The 26,090-nt window shown below is 36.2% G+C and overlaps 1 protein-coding gene and 1 pseudogene across 7 annotated transcripts in view; both read right to left on the minus strand.

The window, feature by feature from the left end:
* Positions 1-26,090, minus strand: part of FHIT (fragile histidine triad diadenosine triphosphatase) — a 1,504,176-nt gene that overhangs the window by 936,339 nt on the left and 541,747 nt on the right. The window contains exon 5 of one of the 7 annotated variants that reach the window (NR_148921.2): positions 16,180-16,508. The exons of the other annotated variants lie outside the window; for them this stretch is intronic. The gene's annotated coding sequence lies outside the window, so the exon portion shown is untranslated. Of the gene's footprint in view, positions 1-16,179; positions 16,509-26,090 lie in introns of those variants that run through there. 7 annotated transcript variants of the gene reach the window in all.
* PPIAP70 (peptidylprolyl isomerase A pseudogene 70) lies at positions 6,401-7,116 on the minus strand (annotated as a pseudogene).

Here is a 26,090-nt window from a genome sequence, read left to right on the forward strand (position 1 = left end):
TGCCTTGTTTTATTGCAATATTCACTTTATTGTGATGGTCTGGAAGTGAACATGCAGTATCTCTGAGATATAGATATGCCTGCATTTTAAGTCTCAGTGTGACATTATTGTTCTACTATGGTTATTTTACTGTGTTTTACTTACACTTCAAGAAATTCACTAGAGGGTTGGTTTGACATATAACACATTTTTTCCCATTTAAGTAATGGCAAACTGTCTCAAGGAAATCATTTTTGGGTAATACATCTGATCATCAGGAATCAATTAGTAACATCAAACAAGGGGTGTCTATATTTTTTTCTCAGCATGTTCCTTATCTTTTCTTTGTTTGCTTGTTTGTTTGTTTTCTATTTTACATGTCTCATTTAATCCTGGAAAAATGCTATAAAGTAGCTAGCTGATTCTATCTTACAGATGAGGGCACTGAGATTCAGAGAGGTCAGTAGCTGGCTTTATTATCTTCTTCACTGTGGCTGCAATAAAAAATAACCACAAACTTTGTGGCTCTCACAGCTCTGGAAGCCAGAAGCCCAAAATTAAGATGTTTAAGAGCAAAGATCCCTCCAGAGGCTCTAGGAGGGATTCCATTCCTTGCCACTTTCAGCTTCTGGTGGTTGGTGGGACTCTTGTAATAGCATTTAGGTCTCCCAAAATAATCCAGGATGATTTCCTCATCTCAAGATCCTCAATTTAATCATATCTGCAAGGACCATTTTTTTTGCAAACAAGGTCACATTCACAAGCTCTAGAAATTTGATGTGGATACGTTTGCAGAGCCAATATTCAACTTGGCACACTCACCGAAGGCCACATAGCAGAATACGGTGTCAAGTCCAGATATAGGAGTTCCAGACTCCAGAGTTCATGTTCTTTCCACTCCATGTGCGGTTTTCCATCACATTGTGTGACCTGTCGTCTCCATCCCTCCTCACACCTCAGATTCCCTTAGTCTTCCCAACCTCAGAGTGAGGTTAATACTCTGTTCTCTCCGTGCCAGGGTCTCTTCCAAGGAGAGTATTCAAGAGCTGTGCCACCCCTTTACAAATTCCATTGCGCATCCGTGACTTCCTTTCCAATACCCAGACAGTTTCCTGAGTCTAGTTCACAGACTAGATCACCAAAGCAACCTTCCTGGGAGTAAATATTACATCTTTCCCATTCATATTAGTTTCTCAAAAGTGCTCAAGAGCCTGAAGAATGACAGAAGAGAAATGCTAAAGATTGAAGGAGTTCAGAACACAATACTCCAAAATATGTTGCTCTAGTATATTGACTATTTTGAGCTTAAAGACACTTGGAAAAACAGCAGATACAAAAAATATACTCTGAGCTTTCTTCTTTTCCTTAGAAACAGGAGATAACTTGTCCTCCCTACGCCAGAGGGAAAGTAGCGTTCTTATCATCAAAGACGAGAAGTTGATGCTGAGAGAAATCTGAACAAACACACCTTATTAAAGTAACCCTTATCTTCCTAGTTACTTCTCTACCCAATTAACCTCCCTAGCCCAAGCCCGTTGGCTTTGTCACATACTCACAATTTTCTATTCCTTTCCCAATTCAGTACATAGGTGTTCAACTTTCAACTCTGTCTTTGGGTTTCATTTCCTTAAGAGGGCTCTTGTGCTCACATAAAAATTGAATGAATTAAATTTGTATGCTTTTCTCCCGCTGATCTGCCTTATGTCAATTCAATCCTCAGGCCCAGCTAAAAAACCCTAAGAGAGAAAATTTGGCCTCCCCTACAATGTCATCCTCTTTCTTTTTTCTGGACCTTCTATCTGCTGGTACTTAAGATACTAAAATGGACGGGAGAAAGAAAGCAAACCATGTTATGTCTTCTGCATTGGCCTGGTACACTCCGTTTGAAGGTTACTCGAAGCCAGCTTGCTTTTTGTCAAGAGATTGCTTGATCTGGAGCCATATAGAAAATGGTGACATCTCCACCCCGTGACATATGGGCCAGTAAGGGCTTGCAAAGTTCCATTCTGCACACTTCTCTTCATTCTAAGAACGAGTATTCATTCCATTTAAACACATATTACCAGGAATTCAATCCAACCTCTCTTTTTACAGTCTACCTAGAATTACTATTATACTATTTACATACAATATGGAAACCTCACACATGTATGAATCTATTTACAAACTCCCTCTAAATTCAAGTTGTCATTGAAATTACATCTACCTGTATTATAAATCCCATAAAAATGATGCTATAGTTTTTACTTAAACAAACATACATATTCTTAAAACATTAGGAGGAAAAAATTGATTTTTATATTTATCTTACTATTTATGATTTCTTTATTTTTACATAAGGATCTGAGTTTTCATCTATTTTTTCTTGTCATCCCAAAGAACAAAGCATTTTTTACAGTGTAAGTTGGTCTGCTGGCAATAAATATTCTGTTTTTGTTTTTCTGAATGCAACTTTATTTTGACTCCGTTCCTGAAGTATGAGTATCTTTGGATATGGACTTCGGGATTGGATAGTCATATCTCCTTACAGCACATTGAAGATATTGTTTCATTGTCTTCTTGCTTTCATAGTTTTTGAAGGTAGGTTGGCAGTATTTAGCAGTGCAGTTTCATGTATATAGTGTGTTGTTTTTCTCCGGCTATTTTCAAGATAGTGTCTTGGGTTTTCAGCAGTTTGATTACAATGTGCCTCAGCATCTTGAACGTGTACATTTATCTCTCACCAATTTTGGGAAGTGTGTGGGGCCACTGTTTCTTCAAATATTAGGTTGGCACAAAAGTAATTGTGGGTTTTGTAATGAAAAGTAATTGCAAAACCACGATTACTTTTGCACCAACCTAATATTTTTATGACCCATTCTCTATCACCTTTCCTTCTGGGGAACCAATTACTCATATGTTAAAAGAATTATCCCATAGGAACCTGAGGCTCTGGTTGCTTTTTTTTTAATCCTTTTTAAAAATACAATCTCTGTTCTTCATAGAGAAAATCTATATTGATATTATCAAATTCACTGACTGCTTTGGTCTGCCTGTGTATGTATATTCCAAAGGTCAGCCAGAGATTTGAGCAGAATTTACACCAAAAATTTGTAATGCTCCTTTTCTGGCCCTCTTTTTAATGACATTCCTCCCTTACTTTCCAGTAGCTGGGGTTGCTCCAAACTCTGTCCCCTGGTTCATAAGGCCAGAAAGACTGAGCTTCCTACAGGAGTTTCAGCCACTCTGTGTGGCCCTACCTGTGGCTTGACCTCAGGATAATAGTCATAAGAAATTTAACCTATACTACTTCCAGGTGTCTTCAACCCCCTTCGAGAATCTTGCTGCCTTTGTTCATTCTTCAGATCCCTCAGAGAGTTTTGTTGTTGCTGCTGTTTGTGTTTTGTGAGGGTTTACAGACTACATGGGAAGCAGAAATTGTTCTTTGGGATTTAACTTTTACAAAAATCACAAGCACTCATCTCATTTGTGGCAGTGAAAGTAATATTTACAATGTTAACGTTAAATAACATACCTTGCTACAGGTTTCCAGTAAATATCTTGTATTATGCTGCGTAAGCTCCTCCTATTTCTAGCTCATTAAATAAATATTATTTGCTTGTTGGTCTTATTTAACAGAAAAAAAAGGAGTCTCTATTTATTAATTCATTAGTTTTATTTTCCACAGATTGATTTTGTTACTCTCCTTTAATAATGAAAGTTCTCAGGGCTATTAATTTTCTGCTAAATACAGCTTTAGCCATTTAAAATATTGATACATAGAGTTCTTACTCTCCTAACAGTTTATTATATAGTTTCCTTTCCTGTTTGAATCTGGAGTTTTTAGAAAAAAATTTGGTTTTTGTTATCATTATTTCTCTTTTCCAAGCTACTGATTTTTGCATTTAAACTTTTGCTATTAATGTCTAGCTCTATTTCAGTGTAGGCAGAACATGGAGGCTGTTAACACTTTATATTTCATAATTTAATATGGTTTCTTTGAGATATAATATATGATCAATTTTTTTCTAAATGCTTCATGGCTCCTTAAAAAAGTGTATTGCTTATTTCTAGAGAACAAAATTTAATAAATATTTATTAAATCATCTTTGTTAGATTATTAAAATATTCTATCAATTCTGTGTTTATTTGACCCATGAAAGATCAATAAAAGTGTATTAAAGTGTCATACAACAATTCTACTTCCATCAATTTTTCCTTATATTTCTAACAGCCTTTGTTTCATGTATTTTGAGGCTGTTACCAAGTCAATAAAAATTCAGAACTGCCTTATCTTCATTGTGAAGTCTATCTTAAAGAAAATATAACCTTCTTGATTGCATTTAATATTTTTATAGCCTTTGATTCTATTTCATCTAAATATTGCCAAGATTACTTTTTTTTTTAATTTCGCTTCTGCCTAATAAATCTTGTCCATTCTATTGTTCTTTCTTTTTTAATCTAATGAGTTACTTTGTTTTAGGTATATTTCTTCTCAGTACCCTACAGTTAGATTTTGCTTTTTAGCTGAAATATACAGTTGTTGTATTTTAATAGACTAGTTTAATAAACATTTCACAATGAGATTCAGCTTTACACAATGCTTTCACATTTATATTTCCTCTTTTCAACATATCAGGTACAGGGGAAATGTCATTCCTATGTTATGCATAAGGAAATTCAAAGCCAGATAGGTTAGATGCATTTCCCAAGGTCATTCAGGTAATATATGGCAGTGGCAAGACTTAACCAAAGGATGATAATACTAAGAAAATGGCTTTTTACAAACATATACTATCCCCTTGCTGAACATCAATATTCAGATAGACTATTTGGTCAAATTATGTTTTGTGTTTTTTTTTTTGTTTTTTTTTTTAGACAGAGTTTCGCTCTTACTGCCCCAGCTGGAATGCAATGGTGCAATCTCAGCTCACTGCACCCTTCACCTCCTGGGTTCAAGTGATTCTCCCGCCTCAGCCTCTTGAGTAGCTGGGATTACAGGCACTCACCACAAGGCCAGGCTAATTTTTGTATTTTTAGTAGAGTTGGGGTTTCTCCATATTGGCCAGGCTGGTCTCAAACTCCTGGCCCCAGGTGATCCACCCACCTCAGCCTCCCAAAGTGCTGGGATTACAGGTGTAAGCCCCTGTGTCCGGCCATGGTCAAATTATCTAATTTTTCTTCCACTGGGGGACTTTATACTATTTATTTTTATTGCCGTAAATGATATGTTTGTAACACTGTAATCTTATTTCATGCTTTGTGTAGTTTATGCTTTACTCTTTTTTCTTTGTTTTATATACTATTGGCCCTCCTTGTCTGTGGGTTCCACATCTGTGGATTCAACCAATCATGGATTGAAAATGCTCAGTGATATGGTGTGGCTCTGTGTCCCCACCCAAATCTCATCTTGTAGCTCCCATAATTCCCTTGTGTTGTAGGAGGGACTTGGTGGAAGACAATTGAATCATGGGGGGTGGGTCTTTCTCATGCTGTTCTCCTGATAGTGAATAAGTCTCACAAGATCTGATGGTTTTAAAAACAGGAGTTTCCCTGCACAAGCTCTCTCTTTTTGCCTGCTGCCATCCACATAAGATGTGACTTGCTCCTCCTTGCCTTTCACCTTCTGCCATGATTGTGAGGCCTCCCCAGCCACGTGGAACTGCAAGTCAAATAAACGTCTTTGTTTGTGAATTGCCCAGTCTCAGGTATGTCTTTATCAGCAGCAGTAAAAAGGACTAATACACTCAGGAAAAAAAAATGGCATCTATACTGAATATGTACAGACATTTTATTGTCATTATTCCCTAAACAATACAACTATTTATATAGCATTTACACTGCATTAGGTATTATAAGTAGTCTAGAGATAATTTAAAGTAGTCTGTAGGTTACATGCAAATATTATGCCATTTTATTCCAGGGACTTGAGCATCCACAAATTTTGGTATCTGGAAGCAATCCTTCACAGATACCAAGGGACGACAGTACTTGGTGATTTAGATCAGGCTGCACATTCTTTTCTCTCTCCATTGGTTTGGAAGTCATGCATCCTACTTTTGTTTCTAATAGTGGCACCTGGTATATCAAAAAGAATATTAATATTTGTTGAACGAATACATTTTAAAACTTTCAAATATTTAGAATATTTGAGTCTACCCCTAGAAAAATGAGAATTTGTCACAAATTTATTTCTGGACCTTGTAAATATGATCCTGGGTTTCTTATTGCTTAGTGTTAAATATTAAGGTATTAAATATTTAATGCTTATTAAAGCATTATTTTGTGTGACATATTTTCTCTTTCAAAAGCATAGTTTTACATTTGCATTCAGTATTATAATTAAAGTTACAATCACTTAAATCTCACTTTTTGTTAACTTGGTTTAATTATTAACAACCAGCCACTTCTCTGTTACTGAATTCTTTTGTTGTTGTTGTGGTTGTTATTTAGTTTTTATTTCATAATCATAAACTTAACTCTGCAATCCAGCTAGGCATGGAAGGGAACAAGGAAAACATGGAACCCAAAGGGAACTGCAGTGAAAGCACAAAGATTCTAGGATACTGCGAGCAAATGGGGTGGAGGGGTGCTCCCCTGAGCAACAGAAGAAATGGTCTGGTGGTTAAGATAAAACACAAGTCAAACTTATTAGAGCTGTCCACAGTCAGCAATAGTGACCTTCTTGCTAGTCTTGCCATTCCTGAACACAAAGCGCTCCATGGCCTCCACAATATCCATGCCTTCTTTCACCCTGCCAAAGACCACTTGCTTGCCATCCAACCACTTGGTCTTGGCAGGGCACATGAAAAACTGGGAACCATTTGCGTTGGGTCCAGCATTTGCCATGGACAGGATGCCAGGACCTGTATGCTTCAGGATGAAGTTCTCGTCATCAAATTTCTCCCTGTAGATGGACTTGCTACCAGTGCCATTATGGCATGTGAAGTCACCACCCTGACATACAAACCCTGGAATAATTCTGTGAAAGCAGTAACCCTCATAATCAAATCCTTTTTCTCCAGTGCTCAGAGCATGAAAATTTTCTGCTGTCTTTGGAAGCTTGTCTGCAAACAGCTCGAAGGAGACGCAGCCCAAGGGCTCGCTATTGACAGCAATGTCGAAGAAAACAGTGGGGTTGACCATAGCTGGTAATACGGGGCTCCCAGTGGCAGCACCATCTGTGAAGTCTCTGTTACTGAATTCTTAACTTCAATTTCTCTCTCAGTTACCTGGGCAGTGCTTCCTAAATGTTAGTATGTTTAAGAATCTCCTAGAGAGACTGTTAATGCACAGATTGCTACAGTTCATCCAGAGTCCTAACTGTTCTAAGCAGTAGGTTTTATAGCAATATTTTGTACCATATAGTGTGGCCAAAAAAAAAATATCTGATTTTTTGCTCCTTTATAAGGCTAACTGTTTTGTTTGCCTGTGTGTGTGAAGGATTTTTTTTACTTTATTCTTTAAAAAATTACCAAGTTGAAATGATATAAAACCCTTTTCATTAATGTTGCCTGGAGTACGGAAAGTCCCTTCAATTTTTGTTTTTTGGTATCGGGTTTTGTTTTTGTTTGTTCGTTGTGCTCCGAAGAGCTTTTATTAATCTTTCACTACTATTTGTGTTCTAATTGCTTCTGCCTCAAGAACATCTGTGATTCTTACTTTGGTTCTGGGTGTTCAAATCTATGATCTCTATTTTCTATATTTTTAATCATCTCTTTTGTTATTTTAATTTTTATTGCACCTGTTCATTTCAACAGAAATTATCAATTTTTTTCCCCTCTTGATTTTTTCTTTTTCTTCTTTTTTTTTTTCTTGAGACAGGGTCTCTGTCATCCAGGCTGGAGGGCAATGGCACAGCCACAGCTCACTGTAGCCTCCACCTCCCCAGGCTCAGGTGATCTACCCACCTCAGCCTCCTAAGTAGCTGGGACTGCAGGTGTGTGCCACCACACCTGGCTAATTTTTGCCTTTTTTGAAGTGACAGGTTTACATGTTGCCCAGGCTGGTCTCAAACTCCTGGGCTTGAGCAATCTGCCTGCATTGTCTCCCAAAGTGCTGAGATTACAGGCTTGAGGTACCACACCTGGCCATGAGTGTTTTTTAAATAGTGATTTCTTTTCAGCTTCCAACACAGACTTCAATTGTGTTATGACATTCTGGTCTCTTTACAATATTTTCTTGACTAATCCATCTCCTTTTCCAAATAATCCTACTTTTTACAATCTAAACTTATTCTCTCATTTCACTTTCTGTTTCCTGATGCTGTTGAGGATGACAAAAAATCCCTTCAGATTTCTGTGACATATCATCTTGGGAGGTCAACATTTACTCTGAGTCTCTGAGATACTGTTCCCTTTTCCTTGTCCATAATGATTTCTTTTTACTTTAGTTTATCATGAAAGAGACCGTGTTTGCCAAGAAAAAGATGAAGATTGTCTTTATGTGTCACTTAAACATAAATCTCTTACAGCTAAATGACATGTTGGTTTACAAAACTTATATCCTAATTTCCATCCTCTAGCAGGTTTTCCACCTAGCATACCTGTTGGGATTGGCATAGACTCATCTTGTATCACTACCTGCATCTGTATTATGAAAAACAACAATCCCCAAGGCCCTCGTAGTTTCAGCATAGATATAGTGCTTTAACTGTGACAGATCCTGACAAACATATTTCCAAAAATATTACTGCCCTATTTAGTAAGCAGGATAATGGTCTTCCAAAGGTGTCTACATCCTAGTCCCTAAAATCTGTGAATGTGTTAGATTACATGGCAAAGGAAAATTAAGGTAGCAGATAGAATTAAGTTTGCTAATCGTCTGACCTTAAAACAGGGAGATTATCCTCCAGTACCAGGGTGGGACCAATGTAATCACAAGGGTCATTAAATCTCAAAAACAGAAGTAGAATAGTCAGAGCAATGCAATAGGAAAAAGAGTTGACTGGCCATTGCTGATATTGAAGATGAAAGGGGGCCACAAGCTAAGGAATGCAGGCAGCTTCTGGAAGGTAGGAAGGACAAGGAAACACATTTTCCCTTAGAGACCTCAGAAAGGAATTCAGCCTAACATCTTAGCCCACTAATATCCATCTATTTCAAACTTCTGACCTCCCAAACTGTAAAATAATAAATCTATGTCATTTTGAACCTCAAAGTTTGTGTTAATTTATTACAGCAGCCACAGAAAACTAATATATGACCATTTATTTGAGTAACCACTATTTGCATTCTTCACATGCATATGCAAAAGATGTCTTCATTAAAAGTGATGCTTCACAAAAGTACTTACATGCATAGTAATTCTTGTTCACTTTTCTGATTAGCGTTTGCATGTTTCTGAAGCAGGGGAAAGATAGCAGCCAAATGATTAAAGGTCTTCCCTCTGTTTGGCCACAGCATAAGGGAATCACCTGTTGAAATTGTTCATTCTAGTTCCACCAAACATCTCATTAGTAGAATTCTCTACAAGAATCAAGACTAGCTTGACTATAAAAACAAATTTTTAGTGGCAGCGACTTCTTTTTGGCATATATCTTCTTGAGTATTTTTATAGAAAGTTGAACCAGGTATAATAGAGGCTACTACTCCAATATGAATTTAATTTCATTCATTCTTCAATCCCTTCTTGGATAAGGTGCTGATCCACCTAAGTCACTCCCTCATAAGTGAATGCAAACTTAAGAAATTATACCTTCATAAAATGGGCATATTTTTCTAACTGTAAAAATGTTTTCTTTAAATAGGCATGACTATGGCCTGTCTATTTTAATTTCGTATAGCAGTAATTTCCCTTGGGGAAGGAGTAAAAGACAATATTTTTTAAAGTTTCTCTCTATCTAGATAGGATGCTAGTAGAAGCAAGATTTCTATATGTTCTGATGTGACCAAGTAGATATTTCTCTACTCACCAGCCTCTGAAAATCCCTGTGTTTACCCAAGATTTAACTAAAGAGGCTAAACTCGTGGGTAAATATTAAGAGGGAATTGACAAAGGCATATTAAGTCTAAGGAGTAGACTATACTTTTCTAAAATAAACACATAATTACAGAGTTAACACAGCAGCACCTTCTGCCTTGTCAGTGCTGAAGGCCCCATGGCAGCCAGTACTCTTCACTTGACCTCGTCCTGCAAACTTTCTGTACAGCAGATAAAGGCCCAAAGTACACTATAGTTTAGTGAATAGCATAAACTCATTCATCTGTAAGTACTAGATATTACAACATCAGGCTTCTCACTGGTCCTACTATAAAAATAATTTTATGCTTGCACATTGGACACAATTGTTCTGGTGGCATAGCTCTTTAGCTACACCAGCACTGAATAGAAAGAGGCATCCTCTACTATTAGTCTGCAACAGAACCCAGCATTTCCACCATTGCAAACATCAAACTGGATGAAGACTTTTTATTCCCAGCAGGATTAAGTCAAAACATAGATTGACCTAGGAGAAGAAGCATTAGCCCTTGTCAAATAAGTATAATTACTTGATGACATTGGTTAGTAAAGCTGCAAAGAATACTGAGGAAATTAAACCAGCTAATTTGGGAAAGACCAGAAAGGCAATATGAACACCATAAAAACATGGGTAAGGAACAGTAAGATGCTGACCTTTACTGTTTTCTCTGGGCATGATCCTGCCTGGCAGAGCTATGTTTAGGCTCCTCAGAAAACCCGATGCTCTCTTTGCATTACTAGCCAATGTGAAGCAACATTAAATAAAAAAAAAAAGAAAGGAAAGAAAGAAAGAAAACAATCAGAGAAATGCAAATTAAAACCACAATGAGATATCACCTCACACCAGTTAGAATGGCGATCATTAAAAAGTCAGGAAACAATAGGTGCTGGAGAGGATGTGGAGAAATAGGAACACTTTTACATTGTTGGTGGGACTGTAAACTACTTCAACCATTGTGGAAGTCAGTGTGGCGATTCCTCAAGGATCTAGAACTAGAAATACCATTTAACCCAGCCATCCCATTACTGGGTATATACCCAAAGGATTATAAATATTGCTGCTATAAAGACACATGCACACATATGTTTATTGCGGCACTATTCACAATAGCAAAGACCTGGAACCAACCCAAATGTCCATCAATGATAGACTGGATTAAGAAAATATGGCACATATACACAATGGAATACTATGCAGCCATAAAAAAGGATGACTTCATGTCCTTTGTAGGGACATGGATGAAGCTGGAAACCATCATTCTCAGCAAACTATGGCAAGGACAAAAAACCAAACACCACATGTTCTCACTCACAGGTGGGAACTGAACAATGAAAACACTTGGACACAAGAAGGGGAACATCACACACCGGGGCCTGTTGTGGGGTGTGGGGGTGGGAGGGATAGCATTAGGAGATATACCTAATGTAAATGACGGGTTAATGGGTGCAGCACACCAACATGGCACATGTATACATATGTAACAAACCTGCACGTTGTGCACATGTACCCTAGAACTTAAAGTATAATAATAATAAAAAAAAGAAAACCATTAAAACACTTTAGAAATATATAAAGGTAGGCCGGGTGCTGTGGCTCACTCTTGTAATCCCAGCACTATGGGAAGCCAAGACAGGTGAATCACCTAAGGTCAGGCGTTGGAGACCAGCCTGGCCAAAATGGCAAAAGCCCATCTCTACTAAAAATACAAAAATTTAGCCAGGTGTGGTGGCGGGTACCTGTAATCTCAGCTACTTGGGAGGCTGAAGCAGGAGAATCACTTAAACCCAGGAGGCAAAGGTTGCAGTGAGCCGAGATTGTGCCACTGCACTCCAGCCTGGGCGACAGAGTGAGACTCTGTCTCAGAAACAACAACAAAAAAGAAATATATAAATGTTTTCATTTGTATGAGAACTTATGAAATAGTGATTAAGAGAATGGGCTCCAAAGTCAAACTGTGAGGGTTCAGATGCTGGTCTTCCCCTTGTAGAAATGTTATGTAAATTATTTATGCTTCATTTCCTACATCTGTAAACTGGGGGATAATACTGTTACCTCACTGGCTGCTTTGGGAGGATCAGCTGTGATAATTCATGTAAAGCTTGTAGCAGAGTGCCTAATCCCTAACAAGAGTTCAACATAATTGCTGCTGCTGCTAGGGAGAGGCTGCAAAGCATTCTGGGTAAGAACAGGGACGCTGGGACAAGATTGTAGAGGCTCTGCCATTGACAAGCTGTAATCTTGAGCAACGTATTTAACTTCTTTGTACCTCACTTCCCTCACCTACAAAATGGAAGTAATAATAACCATTATGAGGGTTGTTGTGAGAATTAAAGAGTTAATATTTGTTAGGTGTTTAGACTAGTATCTGATACATGTCTGACAAACTATTCAGCTGTACATGAATGGTTTTAAAGCTGTGATTATGGAAAACCAAGGGCTTTGTACGGAGGAATGGAGATAAGGAGAGTGTGCAGCCCAGTCCCACTCTGTATGCAAACAAAGTAATTCTAGCTCTTTTACATATTTAACTTTCAAGCAAGATTTTCTTTGAGTAAAGGGTAATGCTGCTTTAAAAGAAGAAAGGAAGGAAGGAAGGAAAGAAGGAAGGAAGGAAGGAAACCATGGCTCTATATGTATGAGCCTCATATAAAATATATCAGTACAGGTCTTACAAAACACTGAATGTTTTTATACACATTCCCTAGCAGATTTAACCAGATCAGTTTTAAGGTTCCTTCTAGAAAGGAAGTTCTCCATACGTTGAAAAGTGAATTTCAGTACATTCAAATTTTAAAGACACGACTTCCCATACTTCTTCAGGGTAAACAAAAATCTCAATAATTCTAATTTAACATGCAAAAGCCATGAATATTCACTACAGTCAAATGAATAATAAATCACCCCTGGGTTCAAGTGCTTGCCATGCAAAATTGCCTATTTCCTAGAACATCCAGAAATCTGTTTTTAAATTGCTTTTTATTACTTTTGCTCTTGTGATGGTTGCTCTTCAAAGCAACTTGGAAAAATGTGCCATTCTCAGCATTAAGGCGATAAAGGAGAAGTGAGGACAGCAGAACACGGTGCCATCCACAAAAGGAAAGAGAGTCTGTGGATCAGAGGGCTGGGCTCCGGAAGACAGTTTTTAAATGTCACTAGATAAAATTTATGAGATAAAAGGGAATGTTCCTTAGTCATCCTGAGCATTGATATCTACATGAATAATAAATCAAAAGGCTCTTTATCCATTTACTGGTAAACATTACGACCTTAGGTTGAAGATGTGATTTACTCCACTGATATCAACACAACAGAAATCCAGTGAAAGTATCACTGGACTGGCCCCAAGTTCTGGAAAATCAATGATGCGTGGGAGAACAAACATTTTGAGGGGAAGAGTATTTTTTTAAAAGTAAATATTTGTGGCACTAGCAACATGAGTGCACTCATTAAGATTTCTTTTAAAGGATTACCCTTTAGTCTCTCCTACATGGAAAACTCAAGTATACTCAAGTTGTCAATTGTATAATTTGATGGAAAGTTATCCCTAGTATTTTCCCCCAAATTGGATTGAATTATTAATATTTCACCTTTACAAATACATGCAGTATAATTCAATTTATATAAAATTTAAAATATACAGAACTTACAGTGATTGCAAGTACCTAAGCTGGTAATAAAGGTATCAATTAATGAAGGAAAATGGATATGTCAAAGGACAGGATAGTGACTACCTCTAATATGATCAGAGAGAGGGTTCAGATCAGGGAATTTTCAGAGGACTGCTGGGGATGCTAGAAATACAATGTATTGACTTGGGTGAACCTTGAGATAGGTGTTTATTTATAGTTATTCATTAAACTGTTCATACATGTCATATGCACTTTTCCTGTACAAATTATATTTCACAATTTTATTTAAATAGTATGTTTCATTCTGAGATGACTCTCCAATCTATTACATGAGACACACTTATACTCAAAAAGGTGTTCATTCTTTTTCTCTGAAATTCAGATTTAACTGGGCATCCTGAATTTTATCTGGCAATTGTAAACCAATCAGAATAGCATGGTTAGATTACAAATAATATATATATTTTAAAAGACAGGAAAATAAACCACAGATAAAATGCATTCTTAAAAGTCTTAGTCATTTCATTTCATATTCTATTAATATGATACATTTGTGTTTCATGGTTTCTGACCCCTTGTGTCCAGCGGACTATAAACATAAGTATGCTACCTAGACCCAAACTAATTTACTTAAAGGAAGGCAAAGAAGCTGACCATTATAAATACAGCATGCCTTAGAAAGGAGAGTTTCAAGTCAAAAACAAATCTGGAAAAAAAATTAATTTGCTTCTTTTTTGTAAAGCAATGATGTGTCGTTTTTATGTGCATTTGTTTACACAGTAAAAGAAAAGACAATCAAATAGGTAAAATGGATGCTGTATTGCTCCCTTATACACACAAGGAATTACACATCTGTCTAACAATGCTAACCACTCTGAGCGATAATTATGGATCAATGCTTTAAAAAATATCCTGAATTGCCTGCAGAAATGGCAAGGAGAATACAATTAAATTATTTGTAAAAGCCAGAGTCTTTTTTTCCTATCCATCTGCTACTTGAAATGGGATGACCTTTCAAATAGTGCTTGCTGTTCTCAATGCAAACTCTAAATAAAGAAGTGGAGTGTGGCTTTTTTTTTCCTTTCCAGGTTCAGCATAGATACAGCATTTGTACTGACATTCTACACCACTCCATAAGAATGCAGATTTGGCTTCTAGAACATAAAAGAGGCGTTTCAGGAATATAAATCAGGCTTTTGTCCCATACCTTCAGTCATGACATTTGGCTTCTATCAGAAAGGTGTGCGGCTTCTGAGATAAGTGTTTGAGAACAAGCTACATGAAGTAATTTACTCCCTGGAGAAAAATTGCAAACCTCACCCCCAAACAAACCGCATAAAGTAAATGTGTTAGTGAAGAACCTTTTGTTAAACTACCTATGGCTGGGGAGCTAAATAGAAAAGGTCAGATATTTAAGCTAACAATGGGCTCAAAACAAACCTTCCAACAGGTCTCTCAATAGGCCTACATTATCAACTAACAACTTGCACTATTAAGACTATTAATAGTAATAAGCCATGCTTTCTTCACTGAGTCTATATATATTTTACATTGTTTTATTGCTCCCCTACCCTTTTTAATTTTTAAAGCATTTCCAGTTTGGTCCTTTGTGTGCTTTTTTAAAAATTAGGATTTTGGACAAACTTTCATGTATTTTTCTTAATAAAAGTGTATCAAGCACATTTCAAAAAGTTCAAAAAATACAGAAATATAAAAAATAATCTATTAGCACATCACCCAGAGAAACTGACTTTTAACAGTCTGGTGTTTATACTCCCATTCATCTTAATACATAAGCGTATCACAAAATTAGATGATATTATATAACAATCAAAACTAATCAACTGTTTTATGAACATCTTTCTATGCCATAAGTAACAATCTGTATCATTATACAAAAATTTTCATTACACCTTTTAAATGTTTTATGGGTATCTCTGTGTGTGTATAGTTGTAAAATATAACTTTTAAGTGAATTTATTTAAATACCCAACTACTTATGAGTACATAGATTTACAGCTTTTTCCACTACTGTAAACAAAATTGAAATGAGCATCCATACACACATCTTTGCAGTTATTTCCTTAGTATTACTTTCCAGAAATAGTATAGCTGGACCAGAAAGTATAAACATTATTAGAGCCTTTTGGTTAATATTGTCAATCTGCCTTCCAGAAAGTTTACTAAGCAAGGTAGGTAGATTTCCCTCTACTGTATAATACTGAGAAATATCAATTTTTTGGATACTTGTCAGTGTGAGCAAAAATGTCATTATTGCTCTAATTATTATTGCTTTGATAACTAATGGGGCTGAGAGTTTTACTGGTGTTTTATAACTCTTCCTTTGTGAATCATTATTCAGATACGTTTCAAATGGTAATTTGTAAAGTATTTTGAATTTTGGCCCATTTTTCTATAAGATAAAAGCATTATCGTTAGTGGGTGCAGCGCACCAGCATGGCACATGTATACATATGTAACTAACCTGCACAATGTGCACATGTACCCTAAAACTTAGAGTATAATAAAAAAAAATTAAAAAAAAAAGCATTATCTTAAAGTACAACACCATTAGGATTTAAGATAAATACACACACACACACACACACATACACACATACACACACACAATGAGAAAAATCATTTTAATTTTAAAAACAATACTCAGCATAACAAATTAAACAAAAATGCACACATACGCCAGGTACAGTGGTTCACACCTGTAATCCCAACACTTTGGGAGGCCGAGGCAGGTGGATCATCTGAGGTCATGGAGTTCAAGACCAGCCTGGCCAACCTGGTGAAAAAATACAAAAAAAGTAGCCAGGTGTGGGGTGCATGCCTGTAATCCCAGCTTCTCAGGAGGCTGAAGCAGGAGAATCGCTTGAACCCGGGAGGCAGAGGTTGCCATGAGCCAAGATCACGCCACTGCACTCCAGCCTGGGCAGCAGAGCGAGAGTCTGTCTCAAAAAAAAAAAAAAAATACACAGGTATGTATGTATGTGGTATATAAAATAAGTCAATACGCTATCCCAGCACTATTTCCAATTCCATTTTCCCATGGCAACTAAAAAAAACAAAACAAAAAATAGAAACAATTACTTGTTTATCCTTCTACATCTTTTTCTAGTTTCATACCAGTACATACAAACAGGTTTTGATATAGTCATTCTTTGCTTTCTAATTCCAACGGTCTCATATCGTTCCAATTAGTCAAATGATTAGATGCTGCCATATCATGGACATGCTGGACATCACATATAGATGTATTTAGTTATTATTATTAGTTCCATAATATTTCACAGTATGGTTATAGTATAAATATATTCAACAATCTCACTATTCATGTGCTGTTTTTATGTTAATGTTATTTGTCTTGATTTTTTTTTGCCACTACTAAAAATGCAGCCATCTTTAAATATACATTTTCACATCAGAGATTACTGACTCCCAAAATTAAGGTTGCAGAGTCAAAGAGCAAGTGTACCATTAATTTTGATAAATATATCCAGATTTAGCAATATATGAAACTCTTCCATTTCTAAGCACCTTTAACAAGCATGGATATTATCAATATTTTCCAATTTTGTCAACTACTTGACTGGAAAAGTATTTATTTCATTGTGATTTTAATTTGTATTTCCACAACTACTAGTAAAGTTGAGCAGAGTTGCATGTCTCTTGGTCACTTAAATTTTCCCTCTGTGAATTGCCAATTAATATCCCTAGCCATTTTTCTCAAATATGGTATATAACTGTATGTCATCAGTGTCTAAGAATTCCTATTTTTCTAAAATTTATATTGTTTAATGTACATTCATATATTTAATTCATCTGAATTTTTAGATTTTTATTGTAAAAAATAGTGGTCTAACATTTACAACTTACTGATGAAAAGCCAATTTTCATAGCATCTTTTATTAGATAAACATACATTTCCCAACTGAACTGAAAAGACCCTTTTTTTTTTTTTTTTTTAAGACAGGATCTCCCTTTGTTGTCCAGGCTGGAGTGCAGGGGAGTGACCTCGGCTCACTGCAGCCTCGACTTCCCTGGCTCTGGTGATCCTCCAACCTCAGCCTCCAAAGTAGCTGGGACTACAGGCATGTGCCACTGTAATTGCCCAGTGGGTTCTCCTTGCCTACTGCCTAGACAGAGCCAATTTCTCAAGACGAGGGAACTGCAATAGAGAAAGAGTTTAATTCACGCAGAGCAGGCTGTATGGGAGACGGGAGTTTTATTATTACTCAAATCAGTCTCCCCCCCAAACTCAGGGATCCAAACTTTTAAGAATAATGTGGTGGATAGGGGGTCGGAAAGGGGGGAGTGCTGATTGGTTGGGTGGGATATGAAATCACAGGGAGTCGAAGCTGTCCTCTTTTGCTGAGTCAGTTCCTGGGTGGGGGCCACAAGACCAGATGAGTCAGTTTATCCATCTAGGTGGTGCCAGCTGATCTATGGAGTGTAGGGTCTACAAAATAGCTCAAGTACTGATCTTAGGTTTTCCAATAGTGATGTTTCCCTGTGGAGCGATTTGGGAGGTTTAGAATCTCGCAGCCTCCAGCTGCATGACTCCTAAACCATAATTTCTAATCTTGTAGCTAGTGTGTTAGTCCTATAAAGGCAGTCTAGTCCCCAGACAGGAAGGGGGTTTGTTTTGGGAAAGGGCTGTTATCATCTTTTTTCAAAGTTAAACTATAAACTGAGTTCCTCCCAAAAGTTAGTTCAGCCTACACCCAGGAATGAACAAGGAAAGCTTGGAGGTTAGAAGCAAGATGGAATCAGTAAGGTCAGATCTCTTTCACTGTCATAATTTTCTCAGTTATAATTTTTGCCAAGGTGGTTTCGCCACCATGCCTTGCTAATTTTTTGTATATTTTATACAGACAGGGTTTCGCCATGTTGCCCAGGCTGGTCTCTAACTCCTGGGGCTCAAGCACTCTGCCCATCTTGGCCTCCCAAAATGCTGGGATTATAGGCGTGAGCCACTGCATCCAGCTGAAAAGACACTTTTACTGAATATTAACTTCATATATTTGGATCTGTTTCTCTTTTTTCTGTTTCATTTATAAAATGTTCTCGTGGCTAACAACATACCATTTTAATAACAGTAACTTTATATTACATTTTAATGTTTAGAAGAAAAAGTAAAAATGAAACCTGTTGCCATTCTGATAAATTATATTAACATATCTATTTTATAGGAATGAATGACATTTTATAATAATAAAAACTATTAGGGAATATGAGTATGACTCTTTTGACAGGCAGTTTTATCTCCATAACATTTTTCTTTTTTCTATATAGGCCTTTTTTGTTAAATTGTTACTAAGGATTTTATATTTTTTGTTTCCAAAGTAATTTTTTTCTATTTCTAGATAACTAGTTATTGAAAGTATAAAGAAAAAATTTGATTTTTATATATTTATTTTGTGATCATCCAGCTAACATGTTTTCTTAGTAACTGTGTAACAGTCATAAATTCTCTATGAATATAATCATATCACATGACAGTGAAGAGAGTATCATTTTCTTCGCTTAATTTTTTTGTTTGATTACAACAAGCAGAACCCATAACACAGTGCTAAGTAACAGTGCTAATAGCAAATATTCCTGTGTATTCTTCCTGATTTAATATGAGTGACTTTTATATTTTACTGTTTAATGTAATGTTTGATTATAGGTCTTTATAAATATTCCTTATTGTGTTTAACTTCCTTCCATGCCCATTTTATTTAGAGTATTGCTAGAAATTTCTAATACATTTTATCACATTTCTTATCAGTATGCATACTGAGTTGAATACAGTCCTCCATAATTTATAGTCATGTGGAATCTCAAGTGACTTTATTTTGAAACTGGGTCTTTGCAGATGTAATTTGTTAGATTACAGTAATTAGAGGTCATAAGGGATTAGAGCGGCCCCTACCCAATGACTGTTGCCCTCATAAGAAGCAAAACCAGAGATATAGTCAGACACGCAGAGAGAATACCATGTGATAAAGGAGACAGAGACTGGAGTAATGTGTCTGCATGCCAAGAAATGCCAAGGACTGTTGGCAGCTACTAAAAGGTAGGAAAAGGCAAGGGAGGGCCACCCCTTAGAGCCTTCAAAGGCAGGATGTCCCTGCTGGTACCTTGATTTTGAACCTCTAGCTTTCAAAACTGACAGACAATAAATGTCTGTTATTTTAAGCCACTCATTACCAAATTACCAAACGGTAATTTGTTATGGTGGTTTTAGGAAATTAACAAAGCATATGTTGTATAATCAAATCATTTAATCTTTTAATTAATGGTATAAAGTTCCAATTCAGAACCAGTTTGTAATTTTTGAAATGAAGCCTATTTTAAACATTTTATCATGTTTTCATAAGCAGATAGATACAAGTTGCTATTTTTTAATTATATACTTCCACATATGAAAATGAAATTAGCATAAAATATCTCATTAGTGTTATTTATCTCAAGTTTTGATATAACATTTTGCTAGATTTGTACAGTTGAGCCCCATTCTATTTTCTCTATAGTCTTGAATTGTTTAAGAACCATAGGGAATATCTGTTTTTTAAAGCTTTCGTATGTTACAAGTATCTTTTAATCTTTTAAAGTACCTGTTTTTAAATATCTAGTTTACATGTAAAACTATCTGGGCCTGGTGCCTTTTTTCTAGTGGTACATGTTTAATAATTTTCCACTTTCTTCTATGATTATTGGTATTAAATGTTTTTATTTTGCCTATGGGAATAATATAATACTGAATGTATATATACTTTTCTAAAGAATCATCATTTTCCTAGATTTGAAAGTGAATGGCTATAAAATTTTTTTTTAAAAAAAATCTAGCCGTACCAGTATTGATTGGCAGAGTTGACCAAGGGAAGCTAAGAGGGTACATACCATCTTCCTCCCACACGACTACATATGCATTAAATCAGAAGACGACAGTCTTCCAAGAATAAAATGAATCATCAAGGGAATAAGAGCAGTTCTCATCCCTAGTTAGAATCTCTAAACAAACCAAAGCAAATGTTTTTATTTGAATCATCAGGACTGTGTCACAATGAAACCTAGATGGTTTGTCTTCAAGTCATTTACTACTCCCCTAAAGTCTTATCAAAAGTATGCTAAAAAAGTTTATGACATTTCCACTGAGCTACAATAAAGCTTCTATTTTTTTAGATACTTGACAAAATTTTAAAAAGAATTATTTTTCCCCCACACCTGCACACATTTTAAAATATCTTCAACTTTTCTACAAAACAATTTTCTCTACAGCTCTCCCAGACTTCACAAACATATTCTTTTATTCATAGCAGATGGAGGAAATTAGAGTAACATATTTGCTCTAAAATCATTAGTGCTGCATCAGCACTTCTGATCTAAATGACATTTCAAGGGGTTATTGTTACATAGAGCAAGACTTTGCTCCAGGCAGAAAGAGACAGAAAAACAACTTGAAAAATGAACCTTTTTTTGCAATTAGCTTCTGCATCTTAATTTGTTGAATGCCATTCTATTTGGATTTTAAATACAAATCAAAGGAAGAATAAAGTGATCCAATTCTGTCAGGGTCATACCTTCCTTACTGGTCAGTCGTCTGATTAATCATTATAGCTGCTTCCTAAAAAATAATGTTGTTAAAACTTACCATCAACTACTTGATTCTCTGGAAAACTAACATATTCTTACTTCTCAGAGATATCTTGAGAGGCTGATAAGTCTGCTCTTTAGCCTCAAGAAATGCCTAAAATTAAACTATTTAACTGGTGAGCTTCACATGACTGCCACTCTGTCCAAGAGATAAATAAACATCCCTGGCTGAAGAATGAACCAACCCATAGGTGTTTCTTTAGCACATACTCTGTTAAGTCCACTGTGGAATTAAAAAAAAAAAAAAAAGTTTAAGGTACTACACACCTGGAAAATGCAATCTTGTAAACATAGGAGAAACCACAGAGAATGATACAAGATAGCAACAATCATACTTTATATTTTTACACTGCATTACAATTTTCAAACTACTTTCATGACACTTTTCTTATTTTATCCTCACAGTAAATCCATAATGGAAGCAGGATAAAAGAGGAAGGAGACATAAACATAGAACTTCAGAGATGAAAGCAACATTAAAGGCATCAATAACCTTCTTTACAGATAAGAAAATGGAGACCAAAGGGAAATAAGAACCTTCACCTTGTTTCAGAGTCAGGCAAGCAAAGCTAATGAAGTGAAGGCTTGTCACCCCAAGTTGCAAAAAGAAGTCACAAAAATAAGACAAGAAAGAGAAAGATGATAGAAATACAGGACACTAATTTGGATTTAATGTACTTTTTTAAAAAATAGAAAAGGAAAAGCAATTCTATTGAATTCGGGTTTGAAATTCAACGTTGGTCTCTAGGGATCACTTGGCTATGGTGGTTTTATGCCATTACCAGATCCCTTTGAGAAAAATACTATTTTGAAATTCATGGTTTCCAGTAAATATGTTCAAGGCTTTGAAGAACATACTCCTGTAGGTGTAAATGGTGTATACACATATACACAAAAGCTTGAAAACACTACTTAATTACTGAACGGAGTCTAAACATTCTACAGCTCAGTTAAGAAGCTACACATGCGTCTCACACCCACCATCTCTCCAGCTGTCCTCCACACACCATCCCAGCAAGTCCTAGCTGACCCTCTTAATACTGTGACCTCTCTGTTGTATAATAAAGGTTGAAAATCATCCTTCCTTTGAATAAGAATATATTATAACTATATTATTTTTTGTTACAGCCTTCTCAAAAATGTATTTCAAGCCACACATAGGCCATTGTCATGGCATCTTTTATTTAACAGACAATAGCTATTTTCCATGACTCAGTCCAGAATATTCTTTAACATCTACATCTAGGATATTATCATAATTATAATAAGAGACGGCACTACATGGATGAAGCTGGAAGCCATCATTCTCAGGAAACTAACACAGGAACAGAAAACCAGACAGCGTATGTTCTCACTCATAAGTGGGAATTGAACAATGAGAACACATGGACACAGGGAGGGGAACATCACACATCGGGGCCTGTTGGGGGTTTGGGGGGCAAGGGGAGGGATAGCATTAGGACTAATGCATGCGGGGCTTAAAACCTAGATGACAGGTTGATGGGTGCAGCAAACCACCATGGCACATGTATACCTATGTAACAAACCTGCACGTTCTGCACATGTAACCCAGAACTTTAAGTAAAAAAGAAAAGAAAGGTGCAAAAGTGAAAACATTAAAAGTGGAATCATGATTTTAAAAAATAAATTCACAGTGGTGTTGAAAGATCATATCAGGGTTAGAGGACAAGTCTTTGGGTTAGAATGAACACTTAATTTATTATCAGAGTGAACAATAATTACCTCGACATTTTAAAACAGCATTTTGTCACCTTTTAAACGTTTGGGAACAGAGAAGGCGAAACACCATGTCTGACACACTATGGAAAGTTTTATAATTCTCCTCAAAAAGGAAGAAAAAATATTTCTATTTCCATTCCAGATCTGCACAATATATTCTTGCATCCCATTTGGTCTGATTCATTTACATTTTGCTGAATTCTGTTTTTGTCCATTTTCATCATTCAAAAGATTTTAAAAATTCAACAACATCAAAAAGCCATCAAAAGATGCTTTCAGATGAAATTGCAAAGAAAATAAGCACATGAATTAGTGAAGCAACTTCCAAGTTATACAATTGTGGCACTTACATCTTTTCTCATCTTGTCCGAGAATTAATTGTACTGCTGAAATTAGACATCCAGCCTGCTCCATGCAGACAGGAGCCCAAGCCGGAAGAAAACTCTTTGAATAACAACACTGCCTTCTGATTCTTTTCACATGGCTACATTTTTGACATTTACTTCAATATTCTACCCAGTTGCAGTGTGACTATGACAAAATATTTCTGTAGGCATGACTGGCACCTCTGCGGTAAGTGGCAGGGAATGGAATAGGAAACGAGTCCCTTTAGTAGCTCCAAAAAGCCCACAGGCACTCTGCAAACCTTTTGCATACATGCTGTTAAGTAAAGGATGTGAAAAATGGAAACCGTGATGACAATTTTAATCACCTTACAGATGATTCTATGATCTACTATAACTTTATAATGGCAAAGCCACTGACACAGGAGACTGACAGGCATATATTCTCTCTCTGCCTCTAAGTCTATTAAATGTTTATTTGGGGGGTTTACACATGGATAGAGATGAACTTAACAGAGTATTTATTGAATCTATCCACGGATAAATTATAAATGACTACAACTTTAACTAGGTGGAATTTTCATGGTTATTTTTAATTTCTAGGCCCAAATCACTTCCCTAGGCTCTAGAACTGTCTTCCAGGAGATGTCAGATGTCAGTAATCAGAGGGAACCCATCTACAGTCAATGCAGCCAAAAGTTCTGCCTACAAGGTAGCAATTAGAGTCCAGCAGTCTCTTCTGGAAGTGCCAATTACTGTTCTGTCTTCCCTTTTGAATGCCTCCTTAATATAAGAATAACATATCATTTTTATCCTATCAGATTAGAAAATATTGTTTAAAATAACACTCACAGTTGGCAAGAATGCAGAGAGAGAAGCACTCCCAAACAGATGCTGGTGAGGATGTAAATTGGAATGTCCTTTCTGGAAAACAGTCCAGCAAAATTTATCATGATGTTTTTATCTTCCTGACATTAGTTTGGGTATACTGTTGCATATTTTTAAATAGTCTTCAAAAGCTAGAGTTTTAAAACTCTGTGTGGCATTTTGTTACGTGAATACGCTATAGTTTTCAATTATTTCCACATTTGTCAGCATTTTAGTTGATTTCAACTTGGGGTATTATAAATAATGCTCCAGTGAACATCTTCATAAATACACATTTAACTCACATTCTGTTTATTTCTTAGTATAGATTCAAAGTGAAAATACAGTGGTTGGCAAGGCTTATATTCAAGTATAATTTTATCCTAGTAATTATGGAATTAGTATCAGCAAACGGATTCCTAAGCTAGAATTCACCATCATTTACTAGGAGAAAGATCTGTGGTGGTAAAACAGACTCTGCTTATTTACACAGCCTTACTAATGGGCAATTTGCCAGAGGAATCCAAACCAGAGAGCATGTATGATTGACTAACCATTACATGGAAAGAAGAAATCAGCTCCTACCAAAAGCACATTCATTTCAAGTAATGCCAGCAACCTGCTGAGTCAGTTGTATTCAGCCCCTATAGAAACCCTTCCCAAGTTCATTGATATGTGACACCCATGACATATTTTTACCATCATTGGTTTTCATGAATTTGCCTGTCTTTGAGACCTGAAAAACAATCTGATTTATTGAACTGAAAAAGGCGAATGTAGTGAAACCCTATCCTGTAATTGGCAAACCTTTTACCTCCCTGGTGGCTTGAGTAGAGAAGTTACTGGCTGGAGGCTGTTCTAAAGGAAAACATGAATGGCCCTAAAATTAAAATTCCAGACTTTAGGAGCCAATTAATGAGGACATACCACTTTTAATCCATCACTTTGCAATATATTTAAAATGTTAAGACTCATTGTTGGCAAGGGAACAGTATTCCCCAAAGCTTATTCCATGGGAAAATGTTTTTGTGGACAAAAGAGTTTGGGAAAGAGTGATATTGGAATGAAGTTCAAGCTGAACTTTTAATGTGCTATTACCAACTGTGAATCTCCATGGGGGGCTGTAGCTAGTAACATTTGTAAACTTCTTCAACCACAAATTATTCCTGCTTTATATTGCCTTTGTTTCTGGCAACTGGGTTTCTATAGCGCATTGCAAGGCAGAGCATTCTATGGAACGTACTTTAGAGAATGTTTCTCTAGGTCAGCAGTTCTCAAACATTTTGGTCTCAGGATCCATTTCCACTCCTAAAAACTGTGGAAGGCCCCAAAGAGTTTGTGGTTATGTTGGTTATATCTATGGATATTTACCATGTTAGAAATTAAAACAGAAAACTTTCAAAACACTATGAATTTATTTTAAAATGACAGTAATAACCAATTACATGTAAATATACATATTTTCCCGAAAAAAGAGCTAGTGAGAAGAGTGGCATTGTCTCAACATCACATTAATATTTAGCCTAATAGAAGACAGGTGGATTCTCCTATCTGTTTCTGCATTGTGTTGTGATATATTATTAGGGTTGAAGTGTGCCAAGAAAATCTAGAAGGAATATTTTAATAGCCTTTTCAAATAACTGGATTTTTTCTCTAATACTGCATCAAAACTTAACAAATGGTAGTTTCTTTAAAAGTTACTTGCAGAGTAGAACCCGAAACCACATCAAGAAATTTTTAGTGCTCTGTTATGTGAAAAATCCATGGTCTGTGTAGCATTTTGAATGGATCCTTTCCCCATGTGAAATTTTGTAACAGTGCACATTGCTCTGGACAAAAATAGTGGTTCATTGGATTATGCAGATCTTCCAAATGTTGACACCTTTCATTGCATGATATAAAAAAGAATTATATTTGCAATATCATCATTGACCTTTT

The sequence above is a fragment of the Homo sapiens genome, chromosome 3, assembly GCF_000001405.40.
Source record: "Homo sapiens chromosome 3, GRCh38.p14 Primary Assembly".
Taxonomy (NCBI): domain Eukaryota; kingdom Metazoa; phylum Chordata; class Mammalia; order Primates; family Hominidae; genus Homo; species Homo sapiens.